Source organism: Homo sapiens, chromosome 1, assembly GCF_000001405.40.
Source record: "Homo sapiens chromosome 1, GRCh38.p14 Primary Assembly".
Lineage (NCBI taxonomy): Eukaryota > Metazoa > Chordata > Mammalia > Primates > Hominidae > Homo > Homo sapiens.
Window position 1 is genome coordinate 240,877,015 of NC_000001.11, and position 19,426 is coordinate 240,896,440.

Sequence of the window (19,426 nt, forward strand, 5' to 3'; positions counted from 1 at the left end):
GGACTATTACCCAAGGGAATAACAGGAAAGCTAGAGGGCTAAGAATACACTATATTAAATATGGAAACACAAAGGAAATTGCAAGAAAATCATGAATATCTGTTCAACAAGATACTAGATCATCATTCAAAATGATGTGTACAAATTGTTCTACCTAAAAAGCTGAAATAACTTGATTTGTAAAACCCTTAATTCCTCCTCATTGTAAAAGTCCAGAAAAATATATAAAGTAAAAAATATACAGTAAATATATATGTCTAAAGTATTTATATATTTATATATGTAAAGTATTTATATAAATATATAAAGTAAAATATATACAGAAAAAATATATAAAGTAAAAAATCATTATAATACCATTTCTGTCATTATTTGGTATATAGTTTGATTTTCTTTTATATATACATCTGCTAATACACATATGAATATCTGTTTATATACAAAATCTATATGCATATATTTATTTTAAGTGTGCTCAAAACTGTACCACACATGCTGTATTATAAACTTTCTTCTTTAATAGTCTGTTGTGGCTAACTTTTCATATCAATAAGTGCTGGTCTATAATATTTTTTAAAAAATTATTTCATGGTAATCCAGTGCTGAGATGTAATGTAATTTATTTTAATGAGTTCTTATTATTGGACATTTGGGTGATAGCTATTATTTTGCTATTATATGCTAACAGTTGTGTGAACATACACGCATGTATATATATGTGTCTTTATGTATGCATCTTTATTTGTTTTTGAAATTGCCAGTTTCCTGAAAGGGTTATTGCTGAGTCAGGGCCCATGCACCTTTCAAGACCTGTGATCTTTATAACCAAATTTCAGAAAGTTTAGACATGAGCATATATCAGATGCTTTTCAACTCTGGAGAGTCTATTTTCAGCAAAGCCATCAGAGTTATTCTGTTAAGACATAAGTCAGATAGTCAGTGTACTCAAAACCCTCCCTTTTATCTACTACTTCCCATCTCATCTCTCTCTAGGAAAAGCCACAGTCCTTACTGCCCCATTAAGTGACCCTCTGGATTTATCTCCCATTCACCTTCCACCCTGCCTGAGCCTCACACCAGATGTCCCCTATGTCTTCTCTCCTTTCCGTCTCTGGAGAGCCCTACCCCAGAGCTGAACTGAATTCTCTCCAGAATATCTTCCCCCTTCTCCACCAAGCCCCTTTCCCAGTTTTTCTCCACACAACTTTTCATGTCCTAATGTACAACTTATGCATTCATTTATGTAGTTAACTTCTTAGTTTTTCTCCCCCTATTCTTCTTCCCTCCACCGACCCACCAGAATGTCACCTCCACCAGGACAGAGGTTTGCCTATTCTGTTCACCAATCAATCCGCATGGCTAGAAGAGTACCTGGCACATAGTAGATGCTCAAAACATAGTTGGGGAGTGAAAACATTTGCCTAGTGTTCATTCGAGGTTTTGTGTTTTCTTTTCTTTCTTTTCTTTTTTCTTTCTTTTTTTTTTTTTTTTGCTTTGATGAATTAACTAATTAACTATAATTTGCTGATTTTTCTATTGGGTATTTAACATTTTTAAATTAGACTTAAGGCCCATTAATACATTAGAGATAAAAACTAATGTTAGGTATATATGAGGAAATATGTTTTTTCCCCAGGTTTTGGGGGAAAAGTTTACTAAACAATGCAGAAAATATTCAGCATACTTAAGAGAATACTGATTTGGTGTATACACACACACACACAGAGGATCAACAGTACATGGTCTGCAATCTGCTTTTTTTCACTTAAAATAACATTACTGAGATTTACCCAGGCTGTTTTCAATAGATGTAGCTTATTTCCCTTAACTGCTGTAGTCTATCCTATGAATGTAGCTCACATTGATTAGTCATATCCCTATTACTAAATACACAAGTTTTTTTTCTTTTTATTTTTTCCTTTTTCTATTACAAAGAACAATCCAGTGAAAGTTTCTCTAAGCATATATTCCTAGAAATGGTATCAAAGGGTTGTGGCGATAGGCACAGTTTGAATTTTATGACACTGCCAAAATTGTCCCATAATACTTGTCCAGTAATGTACAAATATTCCTACCTTCATTCCAGACTTGAATTTTTGCCAATCCGGCTTGAGAGAGGTGCATTAAAGTCTAACCCTTTCAGTAGATTTCTGTGTCTGTTTTCTTGTATCTCCAACAGTTTTCATATCACAGATTTTAATTTCAAAAATGTCTACGAATCGATTGTCCCCTTCACTAATGTGGCTCAATTTAATACTTTTTACCTTGGATTATTTTTTACTTGACCAATATTGCAAGTTCAAATTTTATTTTCTACATGTATTTGCCTGGTATATCTTTGCCTCACCATTTATTTTAAACGAGTCAGTGTGTCTTACTTCTCTTTCCTCTGGAAAGATATTTGTAGATTTTATTTAGGATCTAATCTAAAGATACTTGTTCTTTTTACAGATGAATTTAAAAATCCCCATTCATTTTTGAAAGCTGTTTGTATTCCTTTTCTCAAGTCTTCATCACTCTCCCTCTCTCTGATGGTATTTCTTTTGTTTTCTACCTTTTGTTAGATGGAGTGAGTTTTCTTTCATTCCTACGTTTATAACTGGAAAGTGACAAAACTTGTTACCACTCCGTTAGTGGCCATGCTCATATCTTTGTACAAATGCTTAAATATGTATTTCTTGAATTTTAATCTCAGAAACTGAACACTGCTTATTATTGCTTCCCTCCATAAATGATGGAGAAATTAGCATATCTTCACTCCCTCCAGTCTTTCCAACTTTTTTAATTACTAGAATTTATCATAAACTCTGTCATAGTTTTAAAAAATAATTATAGCATTCACATTCCATTCAGAAAATATTTTTATCACAATTATTTAGATTCTGCAGGGCATGCAGAGAAAGCTGGTGTCTTGGAAAATTAAGGCTGAAAATTTTGTCTTGGAACAGTGGTTTTTTTAAAAAGTCTATATTTGCTGAAATTATTTTATCAAATCTCAGATGCTCCAAAATTGGGCACTTCCTATCTTATTTTATTATTCTATTTGAGACAGGGCCTCCCTCTGTCACCCAGACTGGAGTGCAGTGGTACAACCATTGTTCACCATAGCCTTGACCTCCTGGGCTTAAGTAATCCTCCTGCCTCAGCCTCCTGAATAGCTGAGACTCACAGGCACATGCCACCATGCCTGGCTAATTTTAAATTTTTTGTAGAGATGGGGTCTCCCCATATTGCCCAGGTTGATCTTGAAGTCCCGGGCTCCAGCAGTTCTCCCGCTCTGGCCTCCCACAGTGCTGGGATTCAGGCGTGGGCCATCGCTCCTGGCCCTGTGTTAAGTTACTCTTATTTCTGGTCTTTGGAGTTTGCTTGCTCATTTATAAGTGAGGCTGCTACACTGGTGAAGTTCAAATAGAGACTAATGCTATTAATCTTGGGTTTCCCATCACGGCTGTTGACCAGCCACTGCAGCAATCCTTCAAGGCCACTGCATTGCTCTCCTCCCAGTGTCTCCCCTCTACCCTCGAGCTTGCTCCCCAGTGTCTGAGAGAGCCTGTGCTGCTCTATAAACTGAGGTCACGGACAAAGCTTTCTCCTCTGGTGCCACGCTCATGCCTAAGAAACCTTGCTCCAAGATGGGGAAAGCCTTTCTGCCCTCCCAGGACCCACTTATTTCCAGCCCTCATGCATCAATATGGGGAATTCCTACTGGGGTTGGTCAGAATTCCATCCAATGCTAATTTCTCGAGAAAGTCTGACACCACCATGTCCCTTCCATTTGGCTAAATTTTATTGATTCCAGAAAAATGTTAATTTTTCAAATGAGTAGTGTGTGGTACCATTCTAATTTCCACTCTGTGCTAATAATTCCTTTTCCTCTGGTTTTGCTTTCTTTTTATTCTTTGCAGGAAGAGGGAGGGAAAAATTTTGGTAAACTTCTGGAAAGTATGGTGTATTAGCCAATTGTTACTTGTAACATCAACCCCAAGACTCAAATATATTTTGTAATTATATTTATGCTGAATACACATATATTTAGAACCACAGTGATTTTTGGATTTAAAAAAACACATACTGCAATTATTCTTATTTTCATGCTAAAGAAAAAGATAATTATGTTCTTTAAAAACAGCATTTTCATGGAATATGATGCAGCCATAAAAAAGGATGAGTTCATGTCCTTTGTAGGGACATGGATGAAGCTGGAAATCATCATTCTGAGCAAACTATCGCAAGGTCAGAAAACCAAACACAGCATGTTCTCACTCATAGGTGGGAATTGAACAATGAGAACACTTGGACACAGGGAGGGGAACATCACACACGGGGGGCCTGTCGTGGGGTGGGGGGCTAGGGGAAGGATAGTATTAGGAGAAATACCTAATGTAAATGACGAGTTAATGGGTGCAGCAAACCAACATGGCACATGTATACATATGAAACAAACCTGCACGTTGTGCACATGTACCCTAGAACTTAAAGTATAATAATAAAAAAAAGCAGGGTTTTCAAAATAATTCTTCAAATAAAGGTATTTTAAATTTACTGTTAGTAGAGTACTTTAAAATCTAGCATTAATTTAAAGATTTAGACATTAGCAATGCACTTATAAGAATGAAAAGTTAAAGAATAATTTGGAGAATTTTATTTTTAAAATTTATGACTCAACAGCAACTGAAACATTTATTAAGTGCAAGGGAAATTGAATCTTAATAAAAACAACTAGCAATAATATTATAAAATTTGTTTTTAATTATTTAATTTTCTGATACATAGTAATAAAGACTGTGTTGTCATAAAGTAAGAGTAAGAGTTAACTACTATATGGGATCATATACCTTGATAAAAGAAGATTTACTAGGATAAGAAAGGTGTACTATGAACGTTGAATACTGGACTATAAAAATCTTTTTTTTTTTTTGAGAGAGAGTCTTGCTCTGTCACCCAGGCTGGAGTGTCATAGTGGCATCTCAGCTCACTGTTATCTCCACCTCCCTGGTTCAAGCTATTCTCCAGCCTCAGCCTCCCGAGTAGCTGGAATTACAGGCATGCATAGCCAGGCCCAGCTAACTTTTGTGTTTTTAGTAGAGATAGGGTTTCACCATGTTGGCCAGGCCGGTCTTGAACCCCTGAGCACAAGTGATCCACCCGCCTTGGCCTCCCAAACTGCTGGGATTACAAGCATGAGCCACCGTGCCCGGCCTGTGCAAATCTTTAAATACCCTCCTGGGAGGTGGTGTCCTTAAGGAGAAAGAATTCCTTTAGGACAGTTCTGGAATAATGGCCAGGAACTATTAATAGGAAAAGAATTAGACCTGTGAATTTCTGTTTCTCCCAAAGGAAAGGGAAATGTCATTGAACGATTCTACCATGAGCCTACTTACAATTCTGCTCTATCATAAGGCGGTTACATGTATTATCCAGAGCCTTAAATTAACAATCCAAGGAAGAAGCTACTGTCCTGTTTATTTAATTGATGGTAATGATGAAACCCAGAGAGCTCAAGTCCTCTCTCGGGGCCACATAGTATGTCGGCAAGTCGGGGGTTCTTGGGTCTCAGTGATCACAAAACAGATACGACACACAAAACGTGAAGGCAGTGGCAATGAAGGAGACAATTCCACTCTGGCTCTCAGTGCTGAAAAGGGAGAAATATGCTTCTGTTCTTTGAAGTGTCCATTTTTCTTGGGGTCCATTTTTTTTCATTTCTGAGAATATGGCTTCTCCTTTAAGAACTGTTATTGTCATTCTAAAGGTTTACTGATTGAATTCAGCTCCCTCTGCATTCATCCCTAAACTACATTACAGATTGTATGTTACCCTTACTCTCACTGCGGAAATTGCTGATGAAACAAAATAGAGCCATTTAATTTACCCTTTCGTTTTAAATATAACAATGTCACCGGTGTCTGATGTTCCCCTTCCTGTGTCCATGTGCTCTCATTGTTCAATTCCCACCTATGAGTGAGAACATGTGGTGTTTGGTTTTTTGTCCTTGCAACAGTTTGCTGAGAATGATGGTTTCCAGTTTCATCCATGTCCCTACAAAGGACATGAACTCATCATTTTTTATGGCTGCATAGTATTCCATGGTGTGTATGTGCCACATTTTCTTAATCCAGTCTATCGTTGTTGGACATTTGGGTTGGTTCCAAGTCTTTGCTGTTGTGGGGTGGGGGGATGGGGGAGGGATAGCATTAGGAGATAAACCTACTGCTAAATGACGAGTTAATGGGTGCAGCACACCAACATGGCACATGTATACATATGTAACAAACCTGTACGTTGTGCACATGTACCCTAAAACTTAAAGTATAATAATAATAAAAATTTTTTAAAAAAACAAAAAACAATGTCACTATAACAAATCTGAAAGGTGTGGCTGCTTTTCTCACGTTCATGCGTTTTGGCAACTTGTAGTTCCTTAAGGTGTGACGGATACTCTCTTCTTCCCAAATGTACTTTCTTCATCTCCTTTAAACCTCACATTAAATCCTCATTATTTGCTGATTCCCTGCCTGGAAATTGCCTACTTACTAAAATTTGTTTGTAGCCCTCAAATCAATAACTCATGGAGCTTTCACGGTTATTCATGGCCATTCACAGAGTGGCAAATTCTCAAGTCACCTAACAGTCACATGACCAGCTGATGTCAACCAAGACAATGCTCGGCCTCCTGTTCCAGCTCTCATACTGTAAACAAACATCCTTTTTGTGGGACATGTGGTGCCACATTTTTTGCATTTATGCTTTTGGTTGACAATCTTGCTATTTAAAATGGCCCCTGGGCATGGTGGCTCATGCCTATAATCCCAGCACTTTGGGAGGCTGAGGCGGGTGGATCACCTGAGGTCAGGAGTTCAAGACCAGCCTGGCCAACATGGTGAAACCCCGTCTCTACTAAAAATACAAAAATTAGCCAGGCGTGGTGGCACACGTCTATAATCCCAGCTACTCGGGAGGCTGAGGCAGGAGAATCGCTCGAACCTGGGAGGCAGAGGTTGTAGTGAGCTGAGATCACGCCATTGCACTCCAGCCTGGGCGACAAGAGCAAAAACTCCATCTCAAAAAAAAAAAAAAAAAAAAAAAAAAAGGCCCCAAGAGTAGTATTGAAGTGCTGTCTAGTGTTTCTCAATCAGGGAAGGCTGTGGCGTGCCTTACGGAAAAATTAACGTGTTAGATAAGCTTCATTCAGGCATGAGTTATAGTGCTGTTGCCTGTGAGCTCAGTATGAATTAAAAATATACATTAAATAAGATGTCTTTAAACAGAAACACATATGCATGAAGATTGTGGGTTGATCCATTGACAAAAAAATGTGACCAGGGGCTTGCAGGAAACTTATCCTGTATTTCCCCCAGGATCAATGATTCAGTATCCCCTAATTCAGCGTTCAAGGTAACTTTATAAAACATTGCTACTCTGGATAAGAAGAATCACACATGTGTTTGTGTCTTATTCCCTCTGCTGGAGAACACTGATGAATGTTTTTGTATACTGCAGGGCTACAGTAACCAAAACAGCATGGTATTGGTACAAAAACAGGCACATAGAGCAATGGAACAGAATAGAGAGCCCAGAAATGAGGGAACATTCCTGCAACCATTTGATCTTCCACAAAGCTGACAAAAACAAGCAATGGGGAAAAGATTCCCTATTCAATAAATGGTGCGGGATAACTGGCTAGCCATATGCAGAAGATTGAAGCTAGATCCCTTCTTTACACCATATACAAAATTCAACTTAAGATGGATTAAATACTTAAATGTCAAACCCAAAACTATAAACTCTGGAAGATGACCTAGGCAATACCATCCTGGACACAGGAACGGGCAAAGATTTTATGACAAAGACACCAAAAGCAACTGCAACAAAAGCGAAAATTGACAAATAGTATCTAATTAAACTTAAGAGCTTCTGCACAGCAGAAGAAATTACCAACAGAGTAAAGAGACAACCTATAGAATAGGAGAAAATATTTGCAAACTATGCATCTGACAAAGGTCTACTATCCAGCATCTATAAGGAACTTAAATTTACAAGAGCAAAACAAACAACTGCATTAAAAGTGGGCAAAGGACATGAACAGACACTTTTCCAAACAAGACATGTATGTGGCCAACAATCACATGATAAAAAGGTTCAATGTCACTGATCATTAGAGAAATGCAAATCAAAACCACAATGACATACCATCTCACACCATTCAGAATGGCTATTACTAAAAAGTCAAAAAACAACAGATGCTGGCGAGGTTGCAGAGAAAAGAGAACACTTGCACACTCTTGGTGGGAGTGTAAATTGTTCAACCATTGTGGAAAGCAGTATGGCAACTTCTCAAAGAGCTAAAAACAGAACTACCATTGGACCCAGCAATCCCATTACTGGGACTATACTGAGAGGAACAGAAATCATTCTCCCATAAAGACACATGCCAATGTTCACTGTAGCACTATTCACAATAGCAAAGACATGGAATCAGCCTAAATACACATCAAGGACAGATTGGATAAAGAAAATGTGGTGCAGCTACATCATGGGATACGATGCAGCCATGAGAAAGAATGAGATCATGTCTTTTGAGGGAACATGGATGGAGCTGGAGGCCATTATCCTTAGTAAACTCATGCAGGAACAGAAAACCAAATGCCACATGTTCTCACTTATAAGTGGGAGCTAAATGATGAGAACTCATGGACACGAAGAGGGGAGCAACAGACACTGGGATCTACTTGAGAGTGGAGGGTGGGAGGAGGAAGAGGAGCAGAAAAACATTAAGTATTGGGTACCAGGCTTAATACCTGGGTAATGAAATAATCTGTACACCAAACCCCTGTGACACGAGTTTATCTGTATAACAAACCTGCGCACATACTCCCAAACCTAAGATAAAAGTTTTAAAACAGGACGTTTTCTGTAACAATAACACATACAAAACTCTCATATTCTATACCTCCTAACTTCATTCTTTCATAGGTAACATTATTTGCTCTTTTGCTTATCGTATTATTTTTAAACCAATGCAATATCTATTTTAAAAAATGTAATAAAGTAAGAAATACCATACTTTAACTGTTATGATAATTATAATTCTGAGCCACTGTTCCAAGCAAAATGGTTAAAATATTTCCATGTAAATGTTCATGTAATACTTTCATGTAAATCTCCCATAATACTAGGTCAAGGGTTCTTAATTTCTCTGTCTCTTATTTAAACATATCAACCAAAGTGACAGGTTCTGAGAGTTTGCACCTTTTTAAAGTACCACAATAATCCATCCAGTGGAACATGACACCCAATGGATAAGCCCAGAGGAGCCGTGTGACTTTCAAAGGAAAGTTCTGTCATTCAAATCTGTGCTCATTGAATCTGGACTAAAAGAATCATGGTTGAATTATTCGTTGAATATTTTGGTAAATGAGACACTAAAATAACTGTATCCAACCCTGTGGCATCTTGCTTAATAAAATAACTGTCTATAAAAATGTAAACCCCAAATGATCTTCAAACACATATTTCATTGAATATCTGAACCTGTTTCCACTTGATTCCTTCCCATTCCCACTCCTCACCGCTCTCTCCCTTTCTCTTTCTTTTTCTTCTTTCTCAAATAAAAAGAGAGAGACATAAGCAGAGTGTTAAAAATAAAGGATGATCTAACCAATACGAGACTGAGAGTCCCAAACTGCTGCTAAATTACTCAGGACATTAGAGTCAGACTATGCCTAGAATAGAAAAAGGGCAATTTTCAATCTTTTTCTCCCCAAAAGGCCCAGCAACATGGGGAAGAAAATAGTGATCATTTGCTTAATTGTCTGATCCTCTGATCACTAATATGGAAAGACACATTCACAGATATTCTAGAACATGCCATGTGGTATAATAGAAGGAACAATGGCCCATGAGTTTGAAGACCTTGGGTTCTGGCCTTCCTGTTAACTATGATATTGGATGAGTCTCTAGACCATCCTGATTTGCTCACCTGTGTAATGAGAATAAAGATACTTGGTGTGTCTATTCCATAGGACTGAGGTAAGAATTCTTGGAGATGATGTGTTGGAGAGTTCTGTGTTAACTACAGACGGAAAGTAATGTATGGAATTACTAGATATATTGTACTTTCAGGTCACTGCATAAGTTTCTACTCAAAAGAAAATTATAGCAAGTTCTTTTATAAATGAAATATCCTTTTGAAGATCATTTTGAGTATATAGGTTTTTTTTTTTTTTTTTTTTGAGATGGAGTCTTGCTCTTTTGCCCAGGCCGGAGTGCAGTGGCGCGATCTTGGCTCACTGCAAGCTCTGCCTCCTGGGTTCACGCCATTCTCCTGCCTCAGCCTCCCGAGTAGCTGGGACTGCAGGCCCCTGCCACCACGCCCGGCTCATTTTTTGTATTTTTAGTAGAGATGGGGTTTCACCGTGTTAGCCAGGATGGTCTCAATCTCCTGACTTCGTGATCTGCCCGCCTCGGCCTCCCAAAGTCCTGGGATTACAGGCGTGAGAGTATATAGTTTTATATAGAGTTCTTTTTTAAGTGAGATACCACAGGGTTGGACCTAGAGTTATCTTAGTGTCTCATTTGACAAGTGTCTCTTCCTTGTAGAACTGCAATGAATTTGCACTGCCAAGATTTGTAAACAATATCGATTAATTACATGTGTCTGTTGCATCTTGAATATACTGCCAATGATTTTTAAATATTTTTTTAAATTATCTCAAAATATATTTCAATTTAAAACATGTAACTAGTTTTATTAAGTGTTTAATGGATACCTCAGTGTCATTAAACTATATTTTTAATTTTCTATTTAATTATTAATTCTTTCTGTTCCCTCATTCCTTTTATTTGTGTTATCACTTATCTTGCTACCCAAACGTTGCATACAATTAATCAGCTGATCACTATTTTCTATCAGTAGCTTCCCCATGTTGCTGGGCCACTTGGGGATACAAAAGATTGAAAACTACTCTTTTTCTATTCACATATTTATTCAACAAACATGCACTGGGTGCCTACTATATTGGTGATGGGATTGGGAGTATAGACAAAGCTTCTATCCTCAATGAGGTTACATTATAGAGAAATACTAAGCAAAAAATGTCTTGGACAGGGCAGAAAAGACAGCACTGCAGTTGCACCCGCACAGGTGATGTCCCTCAAGAACGCAGTTCCTGGAGCTGGGACCACGTTAATTCTTCTGTCTACCTGCAGAGGGCGCCATTGCACCAGGTACGCTTTCAGTCTCACCTGGTAAAACTAGAAGATGGCAGCTTTACAAAGAATTTCAAGAATCCTAAAACAGTAAAGGGGTCTTATGTGGGCTAATTGCATGAGGTGCTGAACTTAAGTATCTTCAGTTGCTGGAGAAAAGCAGAAATTCTGCGTTTAAGGGGAGAAAATGGAGGAAAAGTGAGACAGGTGTGTGTGGATACTGGATGTATTCATTTGTTTCACCTTGTGCCCGGCTTTTCCTAAGGCCTGGAGACCCGGCGATGAACGCAGTTGGCTATCATTGCTCTCAGAGGGCTTACTTTGTACTGGTCTGTGGTGTGACAATGTAGAATAATGTGAATAAAGTAATAACAATGTCCAAAATTTATTGAATGCTTTCCATGAGCCAAGAACTATTCAAGAATTTCACATACATTATCTTGTTTAAACTGCACAGCCGCGCGTTGAGAAGAGGTGCTATCAACTTTCCCATTTTGCTGATGAGGCAATTTAGGCTGGATGAGAGGACGAGACTGAGTACTACTTTCTTGGTGGAGGCGACAGTCAAAGCCAGGCATTAGACCGGAATCGACTCAGTTAACCACTAGGCTGTGTGTGACAGCTGGAGGTTAGGGAACGCGGAGGCAGAGAGAGGGAAGCAGCGGGTGCAAAGGGCAGAGCTACTTCGGATTTTATGACGGTCAAAGGCCTCAATGAAGAAAGAGGTAACATTTGTTTTTGTTTTGTTTTTGAGACGGAGTCCCACTCTATTGCCCAGGCTGTAGTGCAGTGGTGCGATCGCGGCTCACTGCAACCTCCACCTCCCGGGTTCAAGCGATTCTCCTTGCCTCAGCGTCCCAAGCAGCTGGGACTACAGGCGCCCGCCACCACGCCCGGGTAATTTTTGTATTTTTGGTAGAGATGGGGTTTCACCACGTCGGCCAGGCTGGTCTTGAACTCCTGACCTCAGGTGATCTGCCCGCCTTGGCCTCCCAAAGTGCTGGGATTACAGACGTGAGCCACTGCACCTGGCGAGAGGTAACTTTTGAATTGAAATCTAAATTGTAAGAGGGAATCAACTCCAGGAATATCTAGAGGCAGAGAGCACCATCGGTACAGCAAGGGGGACTGCCCTGAGCAGAAAATAAGCAGGGAACGTTTCAGAAAAAGTCCAGGAATGGGACACCAGCAGCAGGGTGGCTAGAGCTGGAGGGAAGGGAGAGGTTATGTCAGGGCTGAGCCGGGAGCCTACGGAGCCCTGGCTAGGGGCTCAGGTTCGCTATCGCAATGGAAACTCCTGGGAGCTGTGAGAGCAGTGATATGATGGGATTTACACGTAATTATTTCTCCGCTTCTAGGAGGCGACTGGATGGTAAAAGCAAGAGCAGGTAGCAGACTTTTAAATAACAATAATAATCGTGGTAATGATACAATAGGAAAACAACACAGCATTGGTGTTATCTTGATCGGTGAAATACATTAGTTTTTTGTTGTTGTTCCAAATCAGCCCACTTGGTTCTGTTACTTATCTAACTAGAGATCAGTCTGATATGACGCATGGTGATTTTGAAATACCAGCACAGAACATCCCTGAGATGACGGTGATCTGAAAAGAGCCCTGGCCCTGTTCTTGTAGTGTCCCCTCCTCCATCGCATGCGCACACTAGAGGCTGATGGTGGTTCGCGGATGCTACCAAGAAGGTACAAAAAGCTGATTTTACAGGGATTTGTCTGACCCGTGTACAATTATCTCTCAGAGTTTCCACCTTTTGTTTCTTCACTCCTCCTATTTGCCAAAACAGTCACTGGTTTGCAGAGACTTCCCTCCCCACACTCTGCCCTCCCGTACTCAGTCCTGCAAAACGGAGCTTGTGTCAAATGAAACAATCTCCGTTTCCTGGTGGACATACTTCCTTGATCTCTGGGGCTTCTGCCCTTCTTTTTTTTTTGAGACGGAGTCTCGCTCTGTCACCAGGCTGGAGGGCAGTGGCGCAATCTCGGCTCACTGCAACCTCTGCCTTCTGGGTTCAAGTGATTCTCCTGCCTCAGCCTCCTGAGTAGCTGGGCCTACAGGCGTGCGCCACCACACCCAGCTAATTTTTGTGTTTTTAGTAGAGATGGGGTTTCACTATGTTGGCCCAAATGGTCTCGATCTCTTGACCTTGTGATCCGCCCACCTTGGCCTCCTAAAGTGCTGGGATTACAGGGGTGAGCCACCATACCCAGCCTTGCCTCCTTTTTAGAAGAAGATTATGATAATACTAACAATAGCTTGAAGATAATAATGAGAATAATGAAAATAAGTATTGCTTAAAGTTAAAAATAATGAAAATAAATAATGCTTGAAGAGAATGATAATGAAAATAGTAACAGCAACAATAATAATAATAGTTAACATTTCACTAGCATTTGCCATGTGCCAGGCACTGTGATTGTGCTTTATAGATTAATTATTTCTCCAAACAACCCTGTGCAGTGGGTGTATTATTGTTACTTCTATTTTTCAGAAAAGGAAACTGAGGCACAGAGAGTTTACAGGATTTGTTCTTGTTGCACAGCTAATAAATGGCTGCATTGGAATTTGAACCCAGTTGTCTGGGAAGAGCCATTCTAATTTGGAGAAATATTTAGTACAATCTCTGATCAAGGACAAATCCTAAAATGTAGCTTGGAGAGCAGTTTAATATCCAATGGCAAGAACCGCCATTCATTTTGCACCAACCTAATGCATACTCCTGCTGAAAAAAAGAGGCCTACGATATTCTTGAGAGTGCAAGGAAAGGATAGTGACATCACCTGATCAATGCAGAAAGAAAGGATTATAGTGAGACAAAACTTTGCAAGACTCTTAAGAAACAGTGGCTTTAACTTCATCAAATTTGCTACCTGCTCTTAGTTGAGTAACAAGTAAGTCATCTGTCCTCTCTGAGCCAGATTCCTGAAAAACAGGTAATTTAATTATTTTTTTCCAGCATCACTGGGGGGGTGGTTATGAAAATTGAAGGAAATTATCAATGTAAAAGCTTTCTGAAAGCTTGTAACATATTATGCAAATGTAAGATTAACTATATCTGCAATGCAACTGATTATCAGTTCTTTAGTGAAGTGTAATGATAATTCTAAGTGTTACTTCAGATTCAAATGAACATATAATTTTAGAAATAAACTAGAATTTGGCCTCACGACCTTGGCCATAACTTTCTTTTTTATAATAACCAACCATATATTTATATTCAGAATCTCTCTATAATGCATCTATTTCTTCAAGCTATATTTAAAATATATTAAGTAAGAAATTAAAATGAAGTCATTTTTTTCAAACGTACAATGTAATTTTATATTAAATTTTAAAGCTAAATGCATTCATTCAGTGATTAATTTGTTTAATGTGCCAGGCAATATTCCAGGCACTAAGATAGAGATATATAATTCAGACCAACATTCTTAGTCTCCTAATTCCTTGTGTTAAATGGAGGAAACAAATAAGTAGGTAAACAATAATTAATTTTAATATTTTGCTATACATTTCACAGGTAAGTGGATAACCCCCATGACTTTGCAATTCAAATTTAGTGTGTCAGACACTTCCATATATGTTATCTCCTGTGAAGTTCAGGGTAGCTGTGTGAGTTAAAAGAACCACACATTTAATTTGTTGCTTTCTTATTAGATGGCTCAGAATGGAAAAGGGTTGGCGAAAGTTTTCAGAGCTAGAAGTGACAGAGCCAGGGCTGGAATAGAGGCTTTAGGGCAAGAAGTTCTGAGAAGACCCCAGAGACTCTGAGAGGACGGGAGGATCTTATCATCACTGAGCAAGATACTGCCCCAGGGGTGGTAGTTTATGGTTTTTATTCCTCACACTGCTTCCTTATTTAGTGAGCATGTAAGTTAATTAAATCAGAGTATGTATAATGCATCATATAACTCTATGCTAATGGTTCCCTTAGTATATCTTATGTTTCTCTTATGTACTTTGCTTGCATTCTCTTCTGAGGCCCCTAGTAATGACGTGTCCTTTTAGAATATGAAATTAAAACCAAGTATTCTAAATTGCTTTCATCATCTGGAAATTTTGATGTATTTTTGACATCTTACAATTATGTCCCTTAAAATTTCTCTAGAGGTTCTAGAACAAGGGCTATTTTTTTGTATGCTCACTTGACTGCAATTTCAAGCTATGGAAATAAGTGATCAATATTCTCCCAAGCCAAAAGCCCCGTAGGACAACCATAAAGCTCCTCAGTGAAATTCAGAAATGGTCATCTAAAACGTTGCTTTTCACAGCCCTACATTTTTCTTTCTTACTGCTGTTAAGTTGAGCCTAAAGCTGTCTTCTTACATATTTTAAGTTGGGCCTAGGGGTTTCTCCATACATAATAAACTGGAACCTAACTGTATGTGTAAACAACCTACTCTTGTACCAATCACTGAGTTTTGGTCAACAAAAGGCAGCTCACTGTTGAAACTGTGTCAAATAAGGAAAATGTCAAGCTGAACCAATCTGGCTGTTTCTTTTCCTCACTTCTATTTTCCATGAGCCGTGTTCTGTTTTCTGTCCATAAATCTTTTTCAACCACAGTCTCTCTGAACCTATTCTGATTTGGGGCTGCCTGATTTGGAAATCATTCTTTGCTCAATTAAACTCTGTTGAACTATTTCTCTAAGATTTTTCTTTTAACTATCAATCTGAGTATAGATACTTAGTGTCTTTAGAGCTAAATGTGTTGCAACTAGATCACATAATAAATTTCAAGAATCAAGAACACTTATTTATTCATTCACTCAATACATCTTTTTGAATATCTAGTTAAGTGATAAATACTGTCCTAGGAACTAGGAACGCTAAGATAAATAAGATGTAGTTCTTGAACTCCCAAGAGGATCAATCCAGTGAAATAGACAGCTGACTGACCCAGTCCTCATGACCACCATCTACTGTGGGGCCAGTGAAAATCGAAGAAGGCTTTCCTAAACTGGCAATACGGTTGTTGAGTCTTAAAGGACCTAGAGTGTTAACATAGCCATAAACTTTCTACGTGACTCAGTTTTTCTTTGATTAACTTATCCATTGCATTATTAAGATAAATCCATTAATAATGAATAGTTGCAGTAAAGACATCTTTAAGAAAACGATTTTGCTTTTAAGTAAAGCAGCAGGTGAGTTTTTATATGTAAGAGCTCGTCAGGAGTTAATTTTCTTTCTCTTCCCTGATTCATTTAGCTTATGTTAAACCAGGCATATTTCTCCCATAGTATTTAAAAACAAATATTTAACCACATTTCTCTGAAAATTATTTAGGAATAGGTCTTAATATCCTTCTATTTGAAATGAGAGCCTTCCCTTATTAGAAAAATCTTCATGATGCTTAGAAAGACTGCATTAAAAAAAAACAAAACTCCAAAACTTGAGAATATATAGTCCTTTAAATCTGCAGTTCCACTGAACAACCTAAAAAGTTCTGTGAATACCCACAGAGGAAAAGGAAACCCAGTTCTATTTTGCAACTTCCATTGCAATTTCTTCCTTGAAATTTTTAATTATTTTGAGTGAGATTAAAAGTTACTAAGCATATGAGATTGAAGAGTTTTTCATAACTGATATATTATTGTTATGTGTCATTTTAATTCCACTTTGACTTGAACTTCAAAATTAATCATTGTAAAACAATCAGTGCTTATTTGGGCATTGATCAATTTCTTTTATCCAAACTGCTTCTCGAATCTCATTCCTTTTTTCTTGGTTTAATTTCCTGCTTATAGAAGGCTATTTTTAGTAGATCTCTTAGTGATGGTCTGTGAATGGAAAACTCTTTCAATATTGGTTGTCAAATTTAAATAATATCATATCTGGCTATACAAATATAGGTTACCTGATATTTTCTCTCAGTGCCTTGAAACTATTCTTCATTTCTGACCTTCATGAGTGCTTATACAATTTTGGAGATAGGCTACGTATTTATTCTTTTGCTGCTTTAAAATCCTCCTTTATAAAAGTAAAGTCTCTTTTTCCTTGAGTTTCTTCAAGTTTGGGGAGGTGCATCTATTGGCAGACTTTACATTTTCACCAACTGTAACTAGCGCTCAGTGTCTTTCAAAATTTGAGGATTTATGTCCTTGTTCAGTTCTAAAAACTACCTCAACTATGATTTCAGTAAATACTGCTTGTTTCTTGTGCTCTCCTACTGAAACCCCTCTCATGTGTTCTCTTCTGGGTCTAACATCCTTTACTCTATGTGTTTTAACCTCTCTTCCATATTTTCCATCTCCTTATGCAACTGTGCAGCATTCTAGATCTTTCTTCCAATTTACTTGTGCACTGAGGTTTTAATTATAACGACCATATTTATTTGTATAATATTTGTATTATTACAAAGCCTCTTTGGTTGTTTATCAAATCTTCCTGGAATTTTTCCTGATTTTTTTTTCTAATATTATCTAGCTCTCATATCATTTTTTGCGGGTAATTTTATATAATTTTAATGGTCTAAAAATATTATTTAGATTATTCTAATATAAATTTCTTGTCAATCTGTTTACTTTTCTTTATGATACAGTGTTTTCTTGGGTGGTTTCTCATTTTCGTTGCTAGCTCACCTTCAGAAGAATAGGTTTTCTTATGGGAATTCCATGTGCAATGGACTAGGAAACAATATTCTATAGCAATTTTAGCTTTACTTTTTCCAGGTGATATAGTTTGGATATTTGTCCCCACCCAAATTTCATGTTGAATTGTAATCCCCAATGCCAGTGATGGGGCCTGGTGGGAGGTGTTTGGACCATGAGGATGGAACAGTCCGTCATGGCTTGGGGCTGTCCCATGATAGTGAGTTCTCGTGAGATCTGGTCATCTAAAAGTGTGTGGCCCTTCCCCCTCACTCTCTCCCTCTTGCTCCTGCACTATGTGACATGCTTGTTCTCTTTTCACCTTCCACCATGATTGAAAGCTCCCTGAGGCTTCACCAGAAGCCAAGAAGATGCCAGCACGATGCTTCCTGAACAGCCTGCAGAACCATGAGCCAATTAAACCTCTTTTTTCTTTCTTTTTCTTTCTTTCTTTCTTTCTTTTTTCTTTCTTTTTAGTTATACTTTAAGTTCTAGGGTACAGGTGCACAATGTGCAGGTTTGTTACATACATATACATGTGCCATGTTGGTGTGCTGCACCCATTAACGTGTCATTTACATTAGGTATATCTCCTAATGCTATCCCTCCCCCCTCCTCCACCCCATGACAGGCCCCGGTGTGTGATGTTCCCCATCCTGTGTCCATGTGTTCTCATTGTTCAATTCCCACCTATGAGTGAGAACATGCGGTGCTTGGTTTTCTGTCCTTGCCATAGTTTGCTCAGAATGATGGTTACCAGCTTCATCCATGTCCCTACAAAGGACATGAACTCATCCTTTTTTATGGCTGCATAGTATTCCATGGTGTATATGTGCCACATTTTCTTAATCCAGTCTATCATTGATGGACATTTGGCTTGGTTCCAAGTCTTTGCTATTGTGAATAGTGCCGCAATAAACGTACATGTGCATGTGTCTTTATAGCAGCATGATTTATAATCCTTTAGGTATATACCCAGTAATGGGATTGCTGGGTCAAATGGTATTTCTAGTTCTAGATCCTTGAGGAATCACTGCGCTGTCTTCCACAATGGTTGACCTAGTTTACAGTCCCACCAACAGTGTAAAAGTGTTTCTATTTCTCCACATCCTCTCCAGCAACTGTTGTTTCCTGACTTCTTAATGATCGCCATTCTAACTGGTATGAGATGGTATGTCATTATGGTTTTGATTTGCATTTCTCTGATGGCCAGTGATGATGAGATTTTTTCATGTGTCTTTTGGCTGCATAAATGTCTTCTTTTGAGAAGTGTCTGTTCATATCCTTTGCCCACTTTTTGATGGGGTTGATTTTTTCTTGTAAGTTTGTTTAAGTTCTTCATAGATTCTGGATATTAGCCCTTTGTCAGATGGGTAGATTGTAAACATTTTCTCCCATTCTGTAGGTTGCCTGTTCACTCTGATGGTAGTTTCTTTTGCTGTGCAGAAGCTCTTTAGTTTAATTAGATCCCATTTGTCAATTTTGTCTTTTGTTGCCATTGCTTTTGGTGTTTTAGACATGAAGTCCTCGCCCACGCCTATGTCCTGAATGGTATTGCCCAGGATTACTTTTAGGGTTTGTATGGTTTTAGGTCTAACATTTAAGTCTTTAATCC

General features: G+C 38.3%; 1 protein-coding gene across 22 annotated transcripts in view, besides 1 other annotated feature; it reads right to left on the bottom strand.

The window, feature by feature from the left end:
- Window positions 1-19,426, bottom strand: part of RGS7 (regulator of G protein signaling 7) — a 582,489-nt gene that overhangs the window by 102,273 nt on the left and 460,790 nt on the right. The gene's annotated exons all lie outside the window — the stretch shown is intronic.
- Window positions 11,096-11,623: an enhancer, noted in NCBI's record as "OCT4-NANOG hESC enhancer chr1:241051410-241051937 (GRCh37/hg19 assembly coordinates)". NCBI's record gives its function as "activates a minimal SCP1, AML or CMV promoter by ChIP-STARR-seq in primed H9 embryonic stem cells {active_cell/tissue: H9 hESC(primed)}" and the evidence as "EXISTENCE:reporter gene assay evidence [ECO:0000049][PMID:30033119]".